Source organism: Homo sapiens, chromosome 13 (assembly GCF_000001405.40).
Source record: "Homo sapiens chromosome 13, GRCh38.p14 Primary Assembly".
In the NCBI taxonomy this organism is placed as follows: Eukaryota; Metazoa; Chordata; class Mammalia; order Primates; family Hominidae; genus Homo; species Homo sapiens.
Window position 1 is genome coordinate 75,290,143 of NC_000013.11, and position 16,865 is coordinate 75,307,007.

The 16,865-nt window shown below is 36.7% G+C and overlaps 1 protein-coding gene across 11 annotated transcripts in view; it reads right to left on the minus strand.

The window, feature by feature from the left end:
- TBC1D4 (TBC1 domain family member 4) overlaps window positions 1–16,865 on the minus strand; it is a 198,667-nt gene that overhangs the window by 6,640 nt on the left and 175,162 nt on the right. For all 11 annotated transcript variants that reach the window (XM_047430811.1, XM_047430810.1, XM_011535331.3 and 8 more), the window contains 5 exons: window positions 16,171–16,329; window positions 12,101–12,259; window positions 9,188–9,432; window positions 4,712–4,871; window positions 1,960–2,129 (listed from right to left, as the gene is read on the minus strand). In XM_047430811.1, coding sequence (XP_047286767.1) covers window positions 1,960–2,129; window positions 4,712–4,871; window positions 9,188–9,432; window positions 12,101–12,259; window positions 16,171–16,329 — 893 coding nt within the window. The remainder of the gene's footprint in view (window positions 1–1,959; window positions 2,130–4,711; window positions 4,872–9,187; window positions 9,433–12,100; window positions 12,260–16,170; window positions 16,330–16,865) is intronic.

Here is a 16,865-nt window from a genome sequence, read left to right on the forward strand (position 1 = left end):
ATATAGTATGATTTCATTTATGTACAACTTTATATATTTTTATATGTATATATAAGCAAAGAAACATGTAATACAAAGTTTCAAAGATTATCTCTAGATGTTGAGATTTATAGTTACTTTTATTTTCTTGTGATTTTCTGCATTATTTGCATTTTTTTCCAGTGTCCATAAATAAAGTTCATCAAAGTCTCCCTTAATATCAGCATTTCATTCCACAGTAATCAACTCTAATTGTTAGTAAATTCTCTCCAATATCAAGTTCAAATTTACCTGCCTATAAATTCTACTCATTAATCCCAATAGTAATCTATAAAGCCAGGCAATTTCCTCATTAATTTTAGAAGGGAGGTGATATCTGATTTCAAATCTCTAAAAGCATAATATCTGATTCCAGTCAAGAAAGATATTTCTGAAAAATTTATAAACAAGTGAATATATAAATAAAAGCTACACTTTTCAGCTTACAGAGCATTTTAACAAATACAAACTATTTATAGATATTTGTGATTTAGATTCCATGTAATGGAAATAAAATTTTACATGTATTAATATAATAAGAGTTCATATTATAGTATGAATTACAGGGTACAAAATACTTTAACATATTGGTTATATTTGCTCCTAAAATAATACAAAACTATAATAGAATCTACTTTTGTTATTCCCATTTTGTAGAGGAAGAGGTTGAGACTCAGAGAGGTTGTAACTTGCCCATAGGTACACAGCTAGTAAATGGCTGGGCACCAGAACAAGGTTCCAAACTCCCTTTCTCTAAACCCTATCGTCTTTCTGCCATCAAAAGTGCCTTCAGGAAAGTGGTAAACTTTATCAATGCTCATAAAGCATAATTGTCAAATCTATCAAGCTGCTCTTAAGCTTGTCCACTGCATCTGAACGGCAGCAATATATAGCTACCACTCACCTGGTCCCTATGAAGAGTCAAGGACTACACATACGGTGTGCAGATTACTCTCAATTTGCTTCTCAGATCAATTCTCTGCCCTCATCCATTCTATTGTACCCTGGCAGGCAGACAATTCCCCACACTTACTTTCTGGCTGGCTTCTGGTTCACTTTGGCAAATAGAAGATGCCAGCACAAGATCAGAAGGGGCAGGAGAAAAGGGTTGGGTATTTCTTCCCTGATCCTTCTCTGCCTAGTTCAACAAGACCACAACAACCAGCACAGAACCCTCCTCCACGGTTCCAGCTCTCCCTGGGCCTAGTAACACTATTATATCCTCCACTTAGCTCCTCTGCAGCAGGGGTTTGAACAGCTTCCCTATGTTACTAGTTCCTTCGCACCTGGACAGCTGTGTTGGATTGCCTTACGCCTACCCACACCTTTATAGATGGTTCCTTCATTTGAATCATCGGAGGGAGAATGTTTCCTGTAGGGACAAAGACTGATACACCAAGTCTCCTCACTGAAGCTTCATAAAACCTCTCAGATCAGTATCATCCCATTCTGGAACTTGTCCAGTACTGTCCCATTCTGGACAACTAGGGTTTGGATGATTAGGCTGATGTGTGCAAGCCAAACAACCAATTAAAAAGCCAGAAGTAGATGCAAACCCAATACCTTCTAATTCCAAAGCCTGTACTCCTGCCACGTGTCCTCTTCGTTTATTTTACAAAATAATTAACAATATAACAAAGGCAAGAGGATCTGATTTTATTCTCAGGCCTTCTTGACTCTGTCAGTTCTATCTTCAGTTTTAGCATTGGTTTAAATTGAAAGGATTCCTGAAAAACTCATTACGTAGCACTAAACAGCATTTTTTGTGCATAGCCAGATAGAAAATGTCACAGTGTAGAAATTTCACAATAGTCCCCTTTCTAAATAAAATGTATCTGATGAAAATATCTGTCAAGCAAAGCTACATTTTTAGGCTAAAGCATTTAATATATATTCAGTAGAGAAAACTGCTATATAATACTATTAGCATTTAAATCATACCTGGGTAATAATTTTTTCCATTTCAGAGGTATTCATATCAGGTAGCGTGTTTTTAAGAAACTCAACAATATTTTCAAAGCTCTCACATTCCATTATAAGTGTCTCTTGGCTGCTCAGTAGGCTGAGTGCAACCTTGAATATAACTTCAGTTCCCTGAAGAAAAATAATATCTAAAAGAAGAGATATAATTTTCATGATCAAAACTATGCATCCACTCTTGTAAAAAGCACGCTATTTGTGCTAAAGGTTTTTGTTTACTTGTTTTATGTATTTTGCAGAAGAAAACTGGTCAAAAGCATCTAGCTTTTTTTTAAAAAAGCAATATAACTAAACATATAAGCAGATGTTTTAATATTCCTCTTAAGAATCTCAGATAAAGCCAGGGTAAAAAAGGACAAAGTATATATCTCTGTCCATGAACTACTTGTAATTTTTAATGCCAAATTTAATGGAGACTAGGTAAACCTCAAGGACAGTTATTCAATTGATATTTAGATTTTTCTTCACAACAGGAATACAAAAACAAATTAACATAACCAATGAGTACTATTCAAACTCTCATTACCATAATAAAAAGTAAATGAACCAGCTATGTAATTAAATCTATACCACACCAGGAAATTAAAAAAAAAAAAACATTAACAGAAAAATTAAAACAAATGAAAAACATACAACCTCAATCAGGAGAGAAATATAAGAGCTACCCTAACTCTAAGCCCTGCTTTCCTACAAATACAAACATGCAATACTTTTGAAAAGTATCAAGTACTAGGCCGGGCGTGTTGGCTCACATCTGTAAACCCAACAATTTGGGAGGCTGAGGTGGGTGGATGGCTTGAGGCTAGGAGTTACAGACCAGCCTGGTCAACATGGTGAAACCCCGTCTCTACGAAAAATACAAAAATTAGCTGAGTGTGGTGGCACATGCCTGTAGTCTTAGCTACTCGGGAGGCTGAGGCAGGAGAATCGCTCGAACCCAGGAGGCAGAGGTTGCAGTGAATTGATATTGTGCCCTGCACTCCAGCCTAGGCAATAGAGCAAGACTCAGTCTTAGAAAAATAAAAAAAGAAAGAAATAAAAGTATCAAGTACTTAGTACTTTTTTATGAAAGTTTCTCTCAATCTATGTCATTCTTTAATCAATAATATACAACAGGGAGTCTTTAATGAAGAGGGAACCATAGAATCATTATTTCATAGTAATTCTTCTTGCTCATGCATCTTTCCATTTCCTGCCAGTCTCCATTGTTTTATAAATTCAAAGAAGAGAGTTGAACAGCTATTGTATAGCCAACAGCATCATTTGTATTCTCATGACAAAAAACTGATACTGAGGACATTTGTTTCTTGAACTCTTGATATCAAGCTTCCAAGGGTAAGTAAAAGAGAGGTGCCCTGAAACATCATTTTGATTTGATACACTATTCTCTGGGAAGAAAAATGTATATAAACAAAAGGATTTATAGAATACCCATTAATAGGAACCCAAGCTCCAGAGAAAATGTCACTGTAGAAAAGCAATAGTGTATATTCAATAAACAAGAGAAATCTGGTGAACATTTGATTCAGCGCATTTTCACTTTACTCTTTTGCTGCATTTTATAAATTGTAGTAACACTAATGCAGTGTTTAACTTTTAAACCACAGCCCTCAATAAGAAAGATATCATATGTTGTAATCTGGTATATATATACATTACACATATATCCTCAAAACAAATTTCTCCAAACAACATATTTCCTTACTATTTGTAATATTCCCTAATATCTTCACTAAATGCTGTTTCATTTTTTCAAACACTGGCAATGACCTACAATGGCGCCAATACAATTTGACAAAAAGCTCCAATTTAACAGAAGTGCAGTTGTGAGTGAATACTGACTGCTTTGCCCATGTCTACTAAATAGATTATCAGAACATAAAAATTAAGGGAGCCCTTTCTAAGGCTACTGAGGTCCTAAACAACATCATTAGAACAAACCTCTGATGAAGAGTTGGTTGTTGTTGTTGTTGTTTTAATTTTTGCTTTTTAAATAACAGACTTAGACTAGTATAAAGACTTGTGAATAGATTTAAGGGCCTCCAAAGGGGACATAAACCATGTTACACTCTCTTTTTATTCCCAATGCCAAACACTGTGCTTAGAGCAAGGCAGTTACTCAGTAACTTGCCCTGAGCTCTACTGACTGTACTTAGTGTTTTCCCTGAGCCACCAGTCTTAGAGACTGTCCCCCAGCACTGCATTGGCATGAAAGAAGAGTCACATGAGCAATGAAACAGGATGTAAAGTTATTCTGTTAACAACAAAAAGTCAGGTTAAGAAATGCCATTAGAAACAACATTGATACAGTTAAGAACATATTTCTCTGTGTTTTGAATGCAAGATGAAGAAGACAATGGGGGTAGAAACATGTATATAAAAATCTGGAAAATTATACACAGTCTGTCCCTAGTCCAGATTTTAGGAGTATACTCTCTGATTTTTAGGCACAAATGAAAATAAGAGCTCCATTACAGCTGACTCAAATACAGGAGCCCAATTCCTCTTTCCTTTTTAATTTCAATTTTATGTAAGACAAGTATGATTTTAAGTTACTGTCAGAACACAGCCAGGCACATTTATTAAATTCCATTAGCAATTTGCTATTCTGTATAACACATGATAGAACAATAGGGGCATCATATGGCTAGAAGTAGAAGTATAGTCCTTGGAATAAATAATACTGTTCCATTTAATTACAGGTATCTCTTACCAAAAACTCTGGCTACAAATCCTAATGAAAACTGAGAGGCAAACAATGTGAGGAACCAGGGGGCAGCATAAAGACTGGGGCTGATTTCATTTTCTTCAAGGTGATTGTAGAGATCTCTGTGATAGTCATGAAGGAGCCTGGACAGCTGGTACATTTGAATCTAAAGTTAATTTGGAGAAGAAAAAAAATATTATGCATTTATCTGCATGTGCATCAAACACACTGATTTTAATTTTATTCTAATATTTAATAACAAATTCACATATATAAGTAGTATTACTTTATTTTTATGATTTTAAAGTTGATACTAAAATCCAAGTTCACTTAACTGAATTCATAAAGCAAGTCACTGAAAGTCTATCTAAGAAGACTGAGCAAGTTTCTCTATCACGTGTGTTTGAGCATCACATACATACAAAGAAATGGAATTTTTTCTTCTGTAGGGAGGCATTGCTTTTGGAATTTAATGAGAACAGTCCTGGCTCAGGAACCTCATAGAAAATCCCTTCTAATTTCAGACTAATTCCAGAAAAGCCTCCATTCTAAAGAATCTACCATGTTCAGTGCAGAAGCTTATTTCTATTTACTGAGACCAGCATGTGATTTATGAAAGAGTTCTGGCTCTCCAGACAATCTGCACTGCTAGGAGAGAATTAAAGCTTCGAATGTTACAGGGCCAGAAGCTTGAGATTTATTTCTAATATTCAAGTTATTCCAGCAGCATATTTTTCATGACAAACGTGATTAAGGCAAAAAGTGCAGTTGTTTCTGAATATTTCTAGAACTAAAAGAAAAAATTATTTCATTTGGCTACTGAGTTGGTTATTGGCATTTCAGAAAACATCATAAAGACAGCATACAGAAACTTTTAAACTCATATCTGTGATACTACAGATAAAGCAGTAGTAAGTAACAAACAAATTTGTGAATTGTGTTTTAATTTAAATTTTTATCCACACAGTTAAGAGATAAGTGATGGTTCCCTGATCAGTTATATTGGCTTGATATTTTGGTGTAAAAATGTATAAAATGTTTTATTAAATCTAGCAGAACTTCTTTCACTAGAAGAAATTATTAAAACATCACTCTTAAATAGCTCTATGACAATACATAAAAATAACCAATTATGTTGTGAATTCAACAATTATTTCTAGAGTACAGAACTAAAAATCAACAGACTCCTTTGGAAAAAAATCAAAAACTATGCAAAAATACAAAAAATTGTTTGTTCAATCCTTATCCACAACAAATATCTTTAGAAACTCCGTTTCCACACAAACTGTAAATAAAAGGGAGTTAAAGAGCCACAGGAAGTCATAGCTATAAAATAAGAAGCTTAGCTGGAGTCAAAGTTTTTTTTTAATGAGATTATTATCTCAAAAAATCATGTTGAAAAAAAACATACATTTCCTTTAGACCATTTACATCGTAGAAACGAGAAATTCTGAGCATCTATCAACAAAAGAGTTAGTATTTTGGTAAGCACAAAAATCAAAAAAGTCTAATTAGCAGCATAAAAAGAAAGCACGTCATCAAAAGCACACTGTTCTTGTTCACTTGTGATTATAAAAAGAAGCAATACTTCAACATGTAATTTTTTAAAGAGAATCTTATTTCCCACCTACCCTGCCGCACATACTCAAATGGGAGTTAAGAGAGTTTCTTCCATCAAGGGATATTTGGGCAAATAAGAACACAATTCAGGCTTCCTTCAAAGAAAGCTTTAATGATAAAATTCTATTTTCTAAGAACAAATAATTCTTCAATTCCACCTTATAGATACCAAGGCAAACCTGCAGATTAAAGAGGTGAACTGGAGAAGGAAAGATGCACAGAGAGAGATAAGGGTAGGGGAGAGAAGATGAAAAAAAAGTAGAGACCAAAAACTTCAGAGGAAAAGATATAATGTCTTTATGCTTAACACAGAAAGCAGCAGAAACAAACGTGACAAGATACATGTATTTAAAGTTGAAAAAGACCTCAACCCCCACATTTTACAGATAAGGTAACTGAAGCAAGATTTTACACATTTTACAGATAAGGTAACTGAAGCCTGGAGCACCCAAGCCACCAAGAGAGAAGCAAGAAATCAGAAATCCTGTGGAGTGAGTCCAAACCCACTGCAAGAGGCATTTAAGCACACTTCTAAACATCCTATTGGCTATACCCAAAACAGTACCTCCTGCTCTAGAAAGTGGAAAAGTGTTATATCTCACTTTAAAATGCAAAAGGACCTACTCTCCCAGAATAAGGTCCCCAATACTGCGGCCTACAGCAATGCTGTCACCAAAGATTTTTAAACATCTGCATTTTCAAAATTATAGACATAAAATACTTCTTGGTACTTACAGTCCATATTAAATGAATGTATAAATCCGATTTACATGAATTTTTGTAATGTCAAATTGATGAATAATTTTTAAGTTGAAATATCATTGTATTTTTAAACTGATAGCTATTATCCTTTTATCTGTGGACCCAGATCAAACACTACTCACAGGTACTTCCCTGTATCTTTGAAATTCTAATAATAGCTACCAAACCGTTGTTTCTGAAAATCAGAATTATTGAATTCCTTACAAGACCATCTGATTCCTATCTGATATTAAGATACAGGTGACCAGGCACAGTGGGTCACGCCTGTAATCCCAGCACTTTGGGAGGTCAAGGCAGGTGGATCACCTGAGGTCCGGAAGTTTGAGACCAGCCTGCCCAACACAGTGAAACCCCAACTCTACTAAAAATACAAAAAATTTAGCAGGGTATGGTAGTGCATGCCTGTAATCCCAGCTACTCGGGAGGCTGAGGCAGGAGAATCACTTGAACCCAGGAGGTGGAGGTTGCAGTGAGCCAAGATCGCGCCACTGCACTCCTGCCTGGGTGACAGAGCAAGACTCCGTCTCCAAAAAAAAAAAAAACGATAAAAAGATAAAAAGATACAGGTAAACTCTTTAGGAATAAAAAATAAAACTTTCCACAGTTGTTATTTGACTTGTTAAACCTACGAATAGTCATCAATGAGGAATCAAATCATATGAACTCACACCAGAAAACCTAATGTTGATAGCAAAGCCCTATCTCCCCAGTCAAAATTTTACCTTCAGAAAGTAAAGAAAAATGGAATACTTCATCTCCATTCATACTCTCAAAAAATATCATTTACTATAACGCTCAGACTAAAAATACAATTCTTTTGTTATACATTGGCAACTGAGATATTAAAGGCAAAAAACTCATCTCTGGGAAACAGAAAAAAATAGTATATTTTAAAAGCATCTTTAAACTATTACTTCTTATCTAAAGCACAGTATTATGATGAACTGGGAGTCATGCATACCTCATTTCAAGGGAGGAAAAACCTGAGAATCCTCTTTAAAGTCTTCTTTTATATTTTTAACCACTGAAAGCTTTAAATTGCCAGGCAGTGGTTGTTTAAGTATCTATAGACAAAATTTAAACTGCTTATTAGCAACCAACCCACTTAGAGAAGTGAAAACTAGGAGAGAAATGTGCAAACAGGGAGTCTGAGGTAGGCTAAAGACAGCAGTGGCAGTTAATACCCCACTCAAAATACCTGGAAAATCTTAATGGTGCTTCTTCAGAGCCTGCTAAGAAAAGCAGACTCAGTGGCTCAAGCCTGTAATCCCAGCATTCTGGGAGGCTGAGGCGGGCGGATCACCTGAGGTCAGGAGTTCAACACCAGCCTGGCCAACATGGTGAAACCCCATCTCTACTAGAAATACAAAAAAATTAGCCAGGCATGGTGGCACCTGCCTGTAATCCCAGCTACTGGGGAGGCTGAGGCAGCAGAATGGCTTGAACCCGGGAGGCAGAGATTGCAGTGAGCCGAGATCGTGCCACTGCACTCCAGCCTGGGCAACAAAGCAAGATTCCATCACACACACACACACATACACACACACACACACAAAGCAGACTGAAAAGGCACCACTGGCTTTCACACTTTTTCCTCTGTAAAGGCCTATCTTACATGAAGATAAAGGAGGGGAGATATCAATGATAAGTTCAAAAAGAACCATAACATGGTATCTGCTATTTGTGTACTCAAAAGTAAAGGGATAAAGATACTTTCAGATTGTAAACAAAAGATCTGTGAGCCTTTTCAACTGAGAAGTTGAGAAAAAGTGAATAAAGATGATTTGATACCTTCTCCATGTAACCCATAGACTTAGGGCATAAAGGACTGGGTCCTCATCACCTACCTTTCTTAAATTACTTATTTACTTACTTCAGGAATTTTATGGAAAAGGTATTCTGCCTCTGGGTCTCATACACTTAGAAGTTTACCTAAATAGCAAATCCCACACTAAGTGAACTAAAACATGCCCCAATCTTTACCCAAGTTCTAAGACAATGGCTCTACATTTCTTTAAATCTGAACTGTAATAATTGAGAAGAGGGCCAGGATTTCTGGTAATAGTCTCACACCTTCCTCGGGAAGCACAAGTGCCTCACCTGCAGCGACATCATGTCAGGTCTGTACTGCTTGCGGAAGCCGAGGTCATACATGAGGAATTTCAGCATTTCAAAGGCTTGCTCTTCACTCATGTGCAGAAGCAGGACTCCAGCCACAAAGCTGATCCCCTGACAGTATCCCACTTCTTTGTCCAGCAAAGAATAGGCTTTCAGGAGGTTAAACAGTGACAGCTGTCCTGGCCCAAGCTGTACTGAAAAGTAAGGGTGAGTAGGAAACGTCCTTCCTGCAGAGGAAAAGAAGGAAAATATTTTTTGAAATGTCCTCATGCCTTGGAGACAACAGTGAAATTGCAATTCAGTGACCTCCAAGAATAAACAGACACTCTTTCCCAAACCAGTGAGAGTTGCTTAGAGTCACCATGTAACTAAGAGTCTCTCCCTCTCTCACCCCAAGTTCTGCCAGGCCACCATACCATCTTCACATATACGATATGGGAGGAAACATTTTATGCTAACCAGTACTTCTTTCCAGCAAAAAAAAAAAAAAAAAAAAAAAAATACAATAAAAATCCACAAACCAATGATGTACCCAGGAGAAATACCAGGAAAATGGAATATAAATTTTATTCTGACTATAAAGCAAGGCAAATTCTAATTCATATAAAGACTACCTTCTAAATGAAACCAGAAGTCTGTAAGACATATTATATTATTTAAAAGAAAATCTTCATAGTCTATAAACAGGTTTATTTCTGCTTTTCTTATGACACTGGAGGGACTTTTTGGGTTTGTTTGACTTTACATTCAGACTGTCATTCAGAAGAAAACTGCTTTTTCAACTATCGTTCGCTCTCTGCTCTTAAAATACCTCCATGAGCCATGTAAACCACTTTTCTTTTTCAATATCTAAAAATATCAAGGAAAATAAAGGGTCAAGTCAATTTCAAATAAATTCCCCTCTAAAATATACCTCTAGGTATAAAATTACCACAGAGACACTTGAGCTGGCAATGTGAGTCCTGCATCACTAAAAGGAGAGTTCTATACACAGAAACAAATCCGTCTTCACATCAAAGCTGTCTATATTGGTATGGGCATTTTTCTAGGGCCACAAAAATGAAGGGGGATGTTAGCTTCCTTGTGAAATGATTACTCATGTCATTTAGAACTTGCAAGAGTGCCAGGTTTTAAAATGTTTTCTCCCACATATGCTTAAAAGTGATTTTTTTTTCTAGGAACCAATAAGATTAATTCTGCAGAGCCAGTAAGAGGAAGATATGAGAAAATAACAATTGCATGCTGAAGAAACACAGATGGCTACAAGCAGAGCCAAATAAGCAATTTTTAAAATTATGGTTTTACTTTCTCACTTAAAATTTTTACTAAGGAAAACTATAAATACACTTTCTATCCATTAACTTGATTCTAGCTCCATTTTTGTCTGACTGTAATATGATCTCATTTTCTCTCTTTAATAGGACATCGTGACTAACCCTGATTGTATCATCAATTTATGGTCAGAGAACCACAGATTTGCTTGGGAACATAGGGATTGCCTTGTTCAATGTCCCCACTTAGTAGAGAGGATGGACGCTCAGAAGGAAGGTAATATGTCTAAGACCACAATTAGTGGCACAATCAGCACAAAAACTCATTTTCAGTTTCTCTGTAAAATCCCCTTTTTAATTCCGCTGGGCTCAAAAAAATAATTAACTGAGCTGGGTCCTTTCCCAGTAAGAGCCATTTGTCATCCAAAAGGAACAGAGGTAAAAACTAGGGTTTGGCTAGTGATTTTTCATATGCCCTAATATAAGATGACCCCAAACATAAGGTAATCTTGTATTTTCCCAAATGGGCCCAAATAACATATCTGGCCACCTGACATATATCAACTTTTAGGAGTACAAATAAAGTGGTCAAATGCCAATATATAATATTTAATCTAATAATGTAGATATTTTTAAATAATAAAGTATGTTAGAGAAAAATTAGAGACAATACAATCTTTAAAAATCAAAGCATTTTTATTTCCATAAGTTATTTGAAAATCAGCATTTAAGAAGACTGCTGGCTGGGCACGGTGGCTCATGCCTGTAATCCCAGCACTCTGGGAGGCCGAGGCGGGTGGATCACGAGGTCAGGAGATTGAGACCATCCTGGCTAACACGGTGAAACCCCATCTCTACTAAAAATACAAAAAAAAAATTAGCCGGGCGTGGTGGCTGGTGCCTGTAGTCCCAGCTACTCAGGAGGCTGAGGCAGGAGAATGGCATGAACCTGGGAGGCGGAGCTTGCAGTGAGCAGAGATCGTGCCACTGCACTCCAGCCTGGGCAACAGAGGGAGACTCCATCTCAAAAAAAAAAAAAAGACTGCTTTATGATTCTGTCACTGGAAATTCTCCGCCAGGTCATGAGTACCCATTCCTACACTATTAGTGCAACTAATGTTTCACTCACCCTATAGGTGTATAGTCATAATTTCCACCAACATAACCATTTATCATGCTGCTTTTTAAAGTGACATATAAAGGATTGTTTTCAGCAGTGTGTCCAGGAATACCTAGTACACCTTTGTTAAATTTTTAACCTATTCTAAGCTATTTCAAAACCAGCATTGATTAAGATACAACTATCTGCCCTAAAAAGTCAGTTGTTCAAAATGCAGTAACTGAGAGCACCCCATAATATGACCTTTATAATAATTTAAATATAAGATGGCTCCCTTTGCAGAGGCAAAGTTTTGGGGTGAAAACTTCATTTAACACGCAGGCATTTATGGGATCGTCAATCAGGTATAAGGCCAACTTGCCCTCAGTAAAGGACAAAGTCAACGGCTCTGCATATGCCAACAGGTGCTCTTTATCAGCACCAAGAACAAACAAAAACCAAAAAAACTTAACAGAGGGATCAGCTGTTTACTTTTGTAAATTATAATCCACATGACAAACATACCTAAATCCACGAGAATCGCATGCTGCTGAGCAGTGAGCTGCTTCAAAAGTTCCTTATAGGATATGTCAGGAGGCTGTTGTTTATTAGGCAATCTGTGTCTGAGTCGGTACTGTAAAGCCAGAAACTGCCAAATTTCTCCTCGTCGACTTTTGGGAACTCCTACAATGAAGGAGATAAATAACCAAGGCCTTGAACTCTGGAATGAAGTTGATAGATCCCAGCTGATTCACTATATAATTCTGGTAAACAGGCAGCTGTATGTACTGCATGCCACCCTAAGACCACACAATATAATTGACAGAAGCATATTTTGACAAGCTGAATCCTATAGCTCTTGATGCCTTGCAAAAGAAAACCCTCACGCAACACTTACGATAATGACAATATTAACAATAACATCACCCGTTGCTGACTGAGCATTAATAAAACATTTATTGAGGGTGCCTAGCTACTAAGCACATGCACTCAGAAAACAACTCAACTATAAGGTAGGCAATTACTATTAGGTCCACTTTATAGACAGAAAGCTGAGGCAGAAAGAGATGAAGTAATTGCCCCAAGTTCACATGGCTAGGAAGTGGCAGTTTAGAATTAGAACTCCAAAAGTCTGGTTTCAGAGGCCAAATCCTGATATCCCAAAGTGTATTACTGCCTATTTTCACTCTTTATCTGGCTTGAGGATAGCAACAAATGCTAAACCTAATTTACAACTCTAAATATTTGTCATCAACAAGTAACTTTATAATAGAGAATCAAATAGCATTCTTATATGGGCATTAAAAATGAAAGAATAGGCCAGGTACGGTGGCTCATGCCTGTAATCCCAACACTTTGGGAGGCCAAGGTGGGTGGGTCACTTGAGGTCAGGTGTTCATTACCGGCCTGGCCAACATGGTGAAACCCTGCCTCTACTAAAAATACAAAAATTAGCGAGCATGGTGGCATGCACCTGTAATCTCAGCTACTCGCGAGGCTGAGGTAGGAGAATCGTTTGAACCTGGGGGACACAGGTTGCAGTGAGCTGAGATCTCACCACTGCACTCCAGCCTGGGAGACACAGCGAGACTCTGTCTAAAAAAAAAAGAAATAATATAAGTAGTAAACAATAAGAAGGCGTAACTGATATGCTCCAGAACAACATTCGGGCTTTGAAAAGAAAATGCTTAGCACATATAATGAAACATTAACTCTAGTATGCTTGAACACCAAAATGTATCACAAGCAGTTCAAGGACACTATGACTATGTTTTTTATGCCAAGGGAAATGAAGTAAGCACTGGGAGGGACAGAATTCAATTCTGCACAGTGCAGGCAACTTTATTTCACTCACTAAGAGTTTTCAGTTTGGACACATTGAATCGGCAATGGGTTCCTTTGCTCCAGCTGGTTAAGGAAATGCTTAATGACAGTAATCTCTTCTGACTGATTGCCAGAGTTTGTACAAGCTGAAAGTATTATTGTCCGACAGGTGAAACTGAGGCTCGTTGGCATGACTTATGAGGCCTCTACAATATAGCTCCAAACTACCTTTTTAAGCACCATTACTTCCCAGTCCCTGATGTATACTAGACGCTTGTGGTTATTTTCACTTCTCCAGTTTCTTGCACCTCCTGTTGCCTTTATGGAATTCCAAGCTCCCTCGCTTGACTTCCCATTGTACGTCTATTCATCTTTCATGAATGAGCTTGAGTGTCACCTTTTCTTTTGAAGCTCTCCCTAACATCTCGAGATGTAATCAGTCCCTTTTCACACACCATTTGACTCATACTGTAACATTACCATATTAGATTACAGTTAGCTCTATATTGAAGTTTTGTCTCTTTTCCCGGCTTAAATGGTCCTTGAGAATAGCAAGCATATTTTCATCTCTGTATGATAAAATCCAAGAATATACCTTGCTGCTTATACATTTGTTGAATGAATCAATGACAGCATAGAAAATGTCATTTTTAGAAGGTAACTATCAGCCCACTAAATGAATCACTGATAACATGAGTGGGCAGTTTTATTATCCAACCAATAATAAATGTACAAAAAGCAACTTCATTCCAGTCAAACAAACATTTATTGAGCATCCAGTATGTAACAGAGAATAAAGCAAGGCAGTCAGGATGCCTCATCATTGAGTGATGAATAAATCCATTCTCAGGAAAATCATCTCATTCATTCATTCATCCATTCATTCATCTAGTAATGAGTGCAAGATACTGTCTTAGGTGCTAGGTGTGCAGTGGTGGGGTAAGAAAAACATTAAACAAATACACACATAATTATTAAACTGTAAATTATGATTAAGTATAATAAATCACGAAAAAGAATGATAAAGTACAATGAACTGATTTTGGTCGGGGGGCAGGGGTGGTGCTCTGAGGAAATGGTATTTGAGGGACCTGAGGGATAATAGGATGCTCTGGGCTTAAAGCGCAGGCAGCAGTCACTCCAGGAGAGGACCGCATAAAGGCCCTGAGACGGGCAGAGGAAAGGGCGGAAGAAAGAGGAGTGAGAAGAGGATGGAGTGGAAAGAAAGGGAGATGGGAAATGAGAATGTAGAGAAGTAAGGAAGAAGGAGAATAGGGAGGGCTGGAACATTCCATGCAAGAAATAGCAAAGGACATATCAGTGCTCAAAGTAAAATAGAGCACACAATACAAGGTAAGGAGAGATAACAAAATGAGATCAGAAAGGAGGAAGTAGATATTATAGAACAATGGTATGGTTTGGCTGTGTCCCCACCCAAATCTCATCTTGAACTGTAGCTCCCATAATTCCATGTGTAGTGAGAAGGACCCGGTGGGACATAATTGAATCATGGGGGCAGTTTCCCCCATACTGTTCCTGTGGTAGTGAGTAAGTCTCATGAAATCTGATGGCTTGTTAAGGAGAAACCCCTTTCACTTGGTTCTCATTCTCTTTTGTTTGCCTCCATGTGAGACACACCTTTCACCTTCCGCCATGATTGTGAGGCCTCCCCAGACACGTGGAACTGTGAGTCCATAAAACCTCTTTTTCTTTAGAAATTACTCAGTCTTGGGTTTGTCTTTATCAGCAGCCTAAAAATGGACTAGTACAAAGGCCTTGGGCACAGGGCCAAGAAGTTTAAACTGTATCCAATAAGAAATAGGAAGATAAGCACTCCTAAAATATCTTTGAAAGTCATGCCAAAAAATGGTGTGATCTACATCTCATAGACATTCTGTTAACCATTATTGTGTCTCCCAAATAAAGCATTCAGTAAAAATCTTTAGGATTTCCATATCTTCAAGGATAAAGAACACTATATTAAGTTTGTCAATGCAGCAGCTTTCAAAATAACACTTATCTTAATTTAAACTTAACTGTGGCTCAACAGTCTCACACATTAGCATAGGCTTTTAAAACAACAATCATTATAGAATTTCTTTGGGTATTTTGGAATTTTTATTTTACACCCACAGTTTATGCAGGCTATGGAGATTCTAATTTTAATATATTTAATCTGAGTCACAGAAACTGCAACTAAAAGTTGACTTATTAGTTTTATTTTTAAATTTAAAATTCTTAAATATCAGGCATCTTATATGGCATAGCAGCAATAAAAGAATAAATGCGATATAATGGCTAAATAAAAGCAACTTCTCCAAAATTAGTGAAGAAATGAATGGATGAAAGAAAATTGATTGATTACTTAGCCAGAATATAAATCTATACATATAAATACATACAAGTATATATACACAGTCATGTAAATATACACATATATGTAAATGAATACTTCTGACCAAATGATGAAAATGAGTCAAGTTTGAAAGACTGAATTATTAATATTTTTATGGCAGTGATCAAAGATTTGTATCAATGCATGCACTTCTTCCTTGGTAAACACCACCACCATGCTGAAAATAGGTTTGTGCTACCTCCTCAGAGACAGTCACTAAACTACAGGAAGAAACAAATTACTTCTCTTTTTTTACTAAGCAAAACACAAGGACAAAATTACTAAGCAAAATCTGAGCTCCACAAATCAAACAAAAAAAAAAAATCCCCCAGGCTTTTCTTTAAAAAACAAAAATTACTGAGATTATCCCAAATACCTTCTTTAAGAAGAGTATGAATATCTTCCATATCACATCTGATTTTAGCTCTGCAGTTTAACAACTTCTTATCCCAAGTTATTAAGACCTCTTTCTGACATGCACCAACTTCTTCATAGTCTAATTTAACTTTTCTGGACTGGAGTTCATCTCTGCTTGCTAAGGAAAAAAACAATTTACGTAAGACCAATGTGTTTTTCAAATGTAAAACTTTAGACGTTTGATTGTATTTGTAAAACCATACCAAATGACTTTCAGGAATCAACTGGTAGTGTATCTCAAAAAGAAAATTTAAAACAAATTGAGGATACATGAAAGGGTCCCAAGCTTTGAGTCATTTCATGTGAGAAAAAAAATGAGGAATAACCTCCTAAGGAGGTTTTACTCTGTATCTTACATATGGCGACTCTGCTAAGTATAAAAAGTAAACCGTGTTGATCATTCTATAATTTTCCATTTTTTGACACCACTGAAGTGTTAATATTTTATATGTGCCATACATGAGAAGACAAAGACTCATGCTCATCTTGATTTGAAAAATATATGACCATAACATGATACATTTTTATAACTGTTTCCAGAGTTATCCATACTGCCCTTAATAACTAATAAAACTAGCTTATGTGTTCCCATGTTCGTTATTTTCTCTTTCGTTTGTTTTTGCTTTTGTTTCTTAGAGACAGGGTCTCACTCTG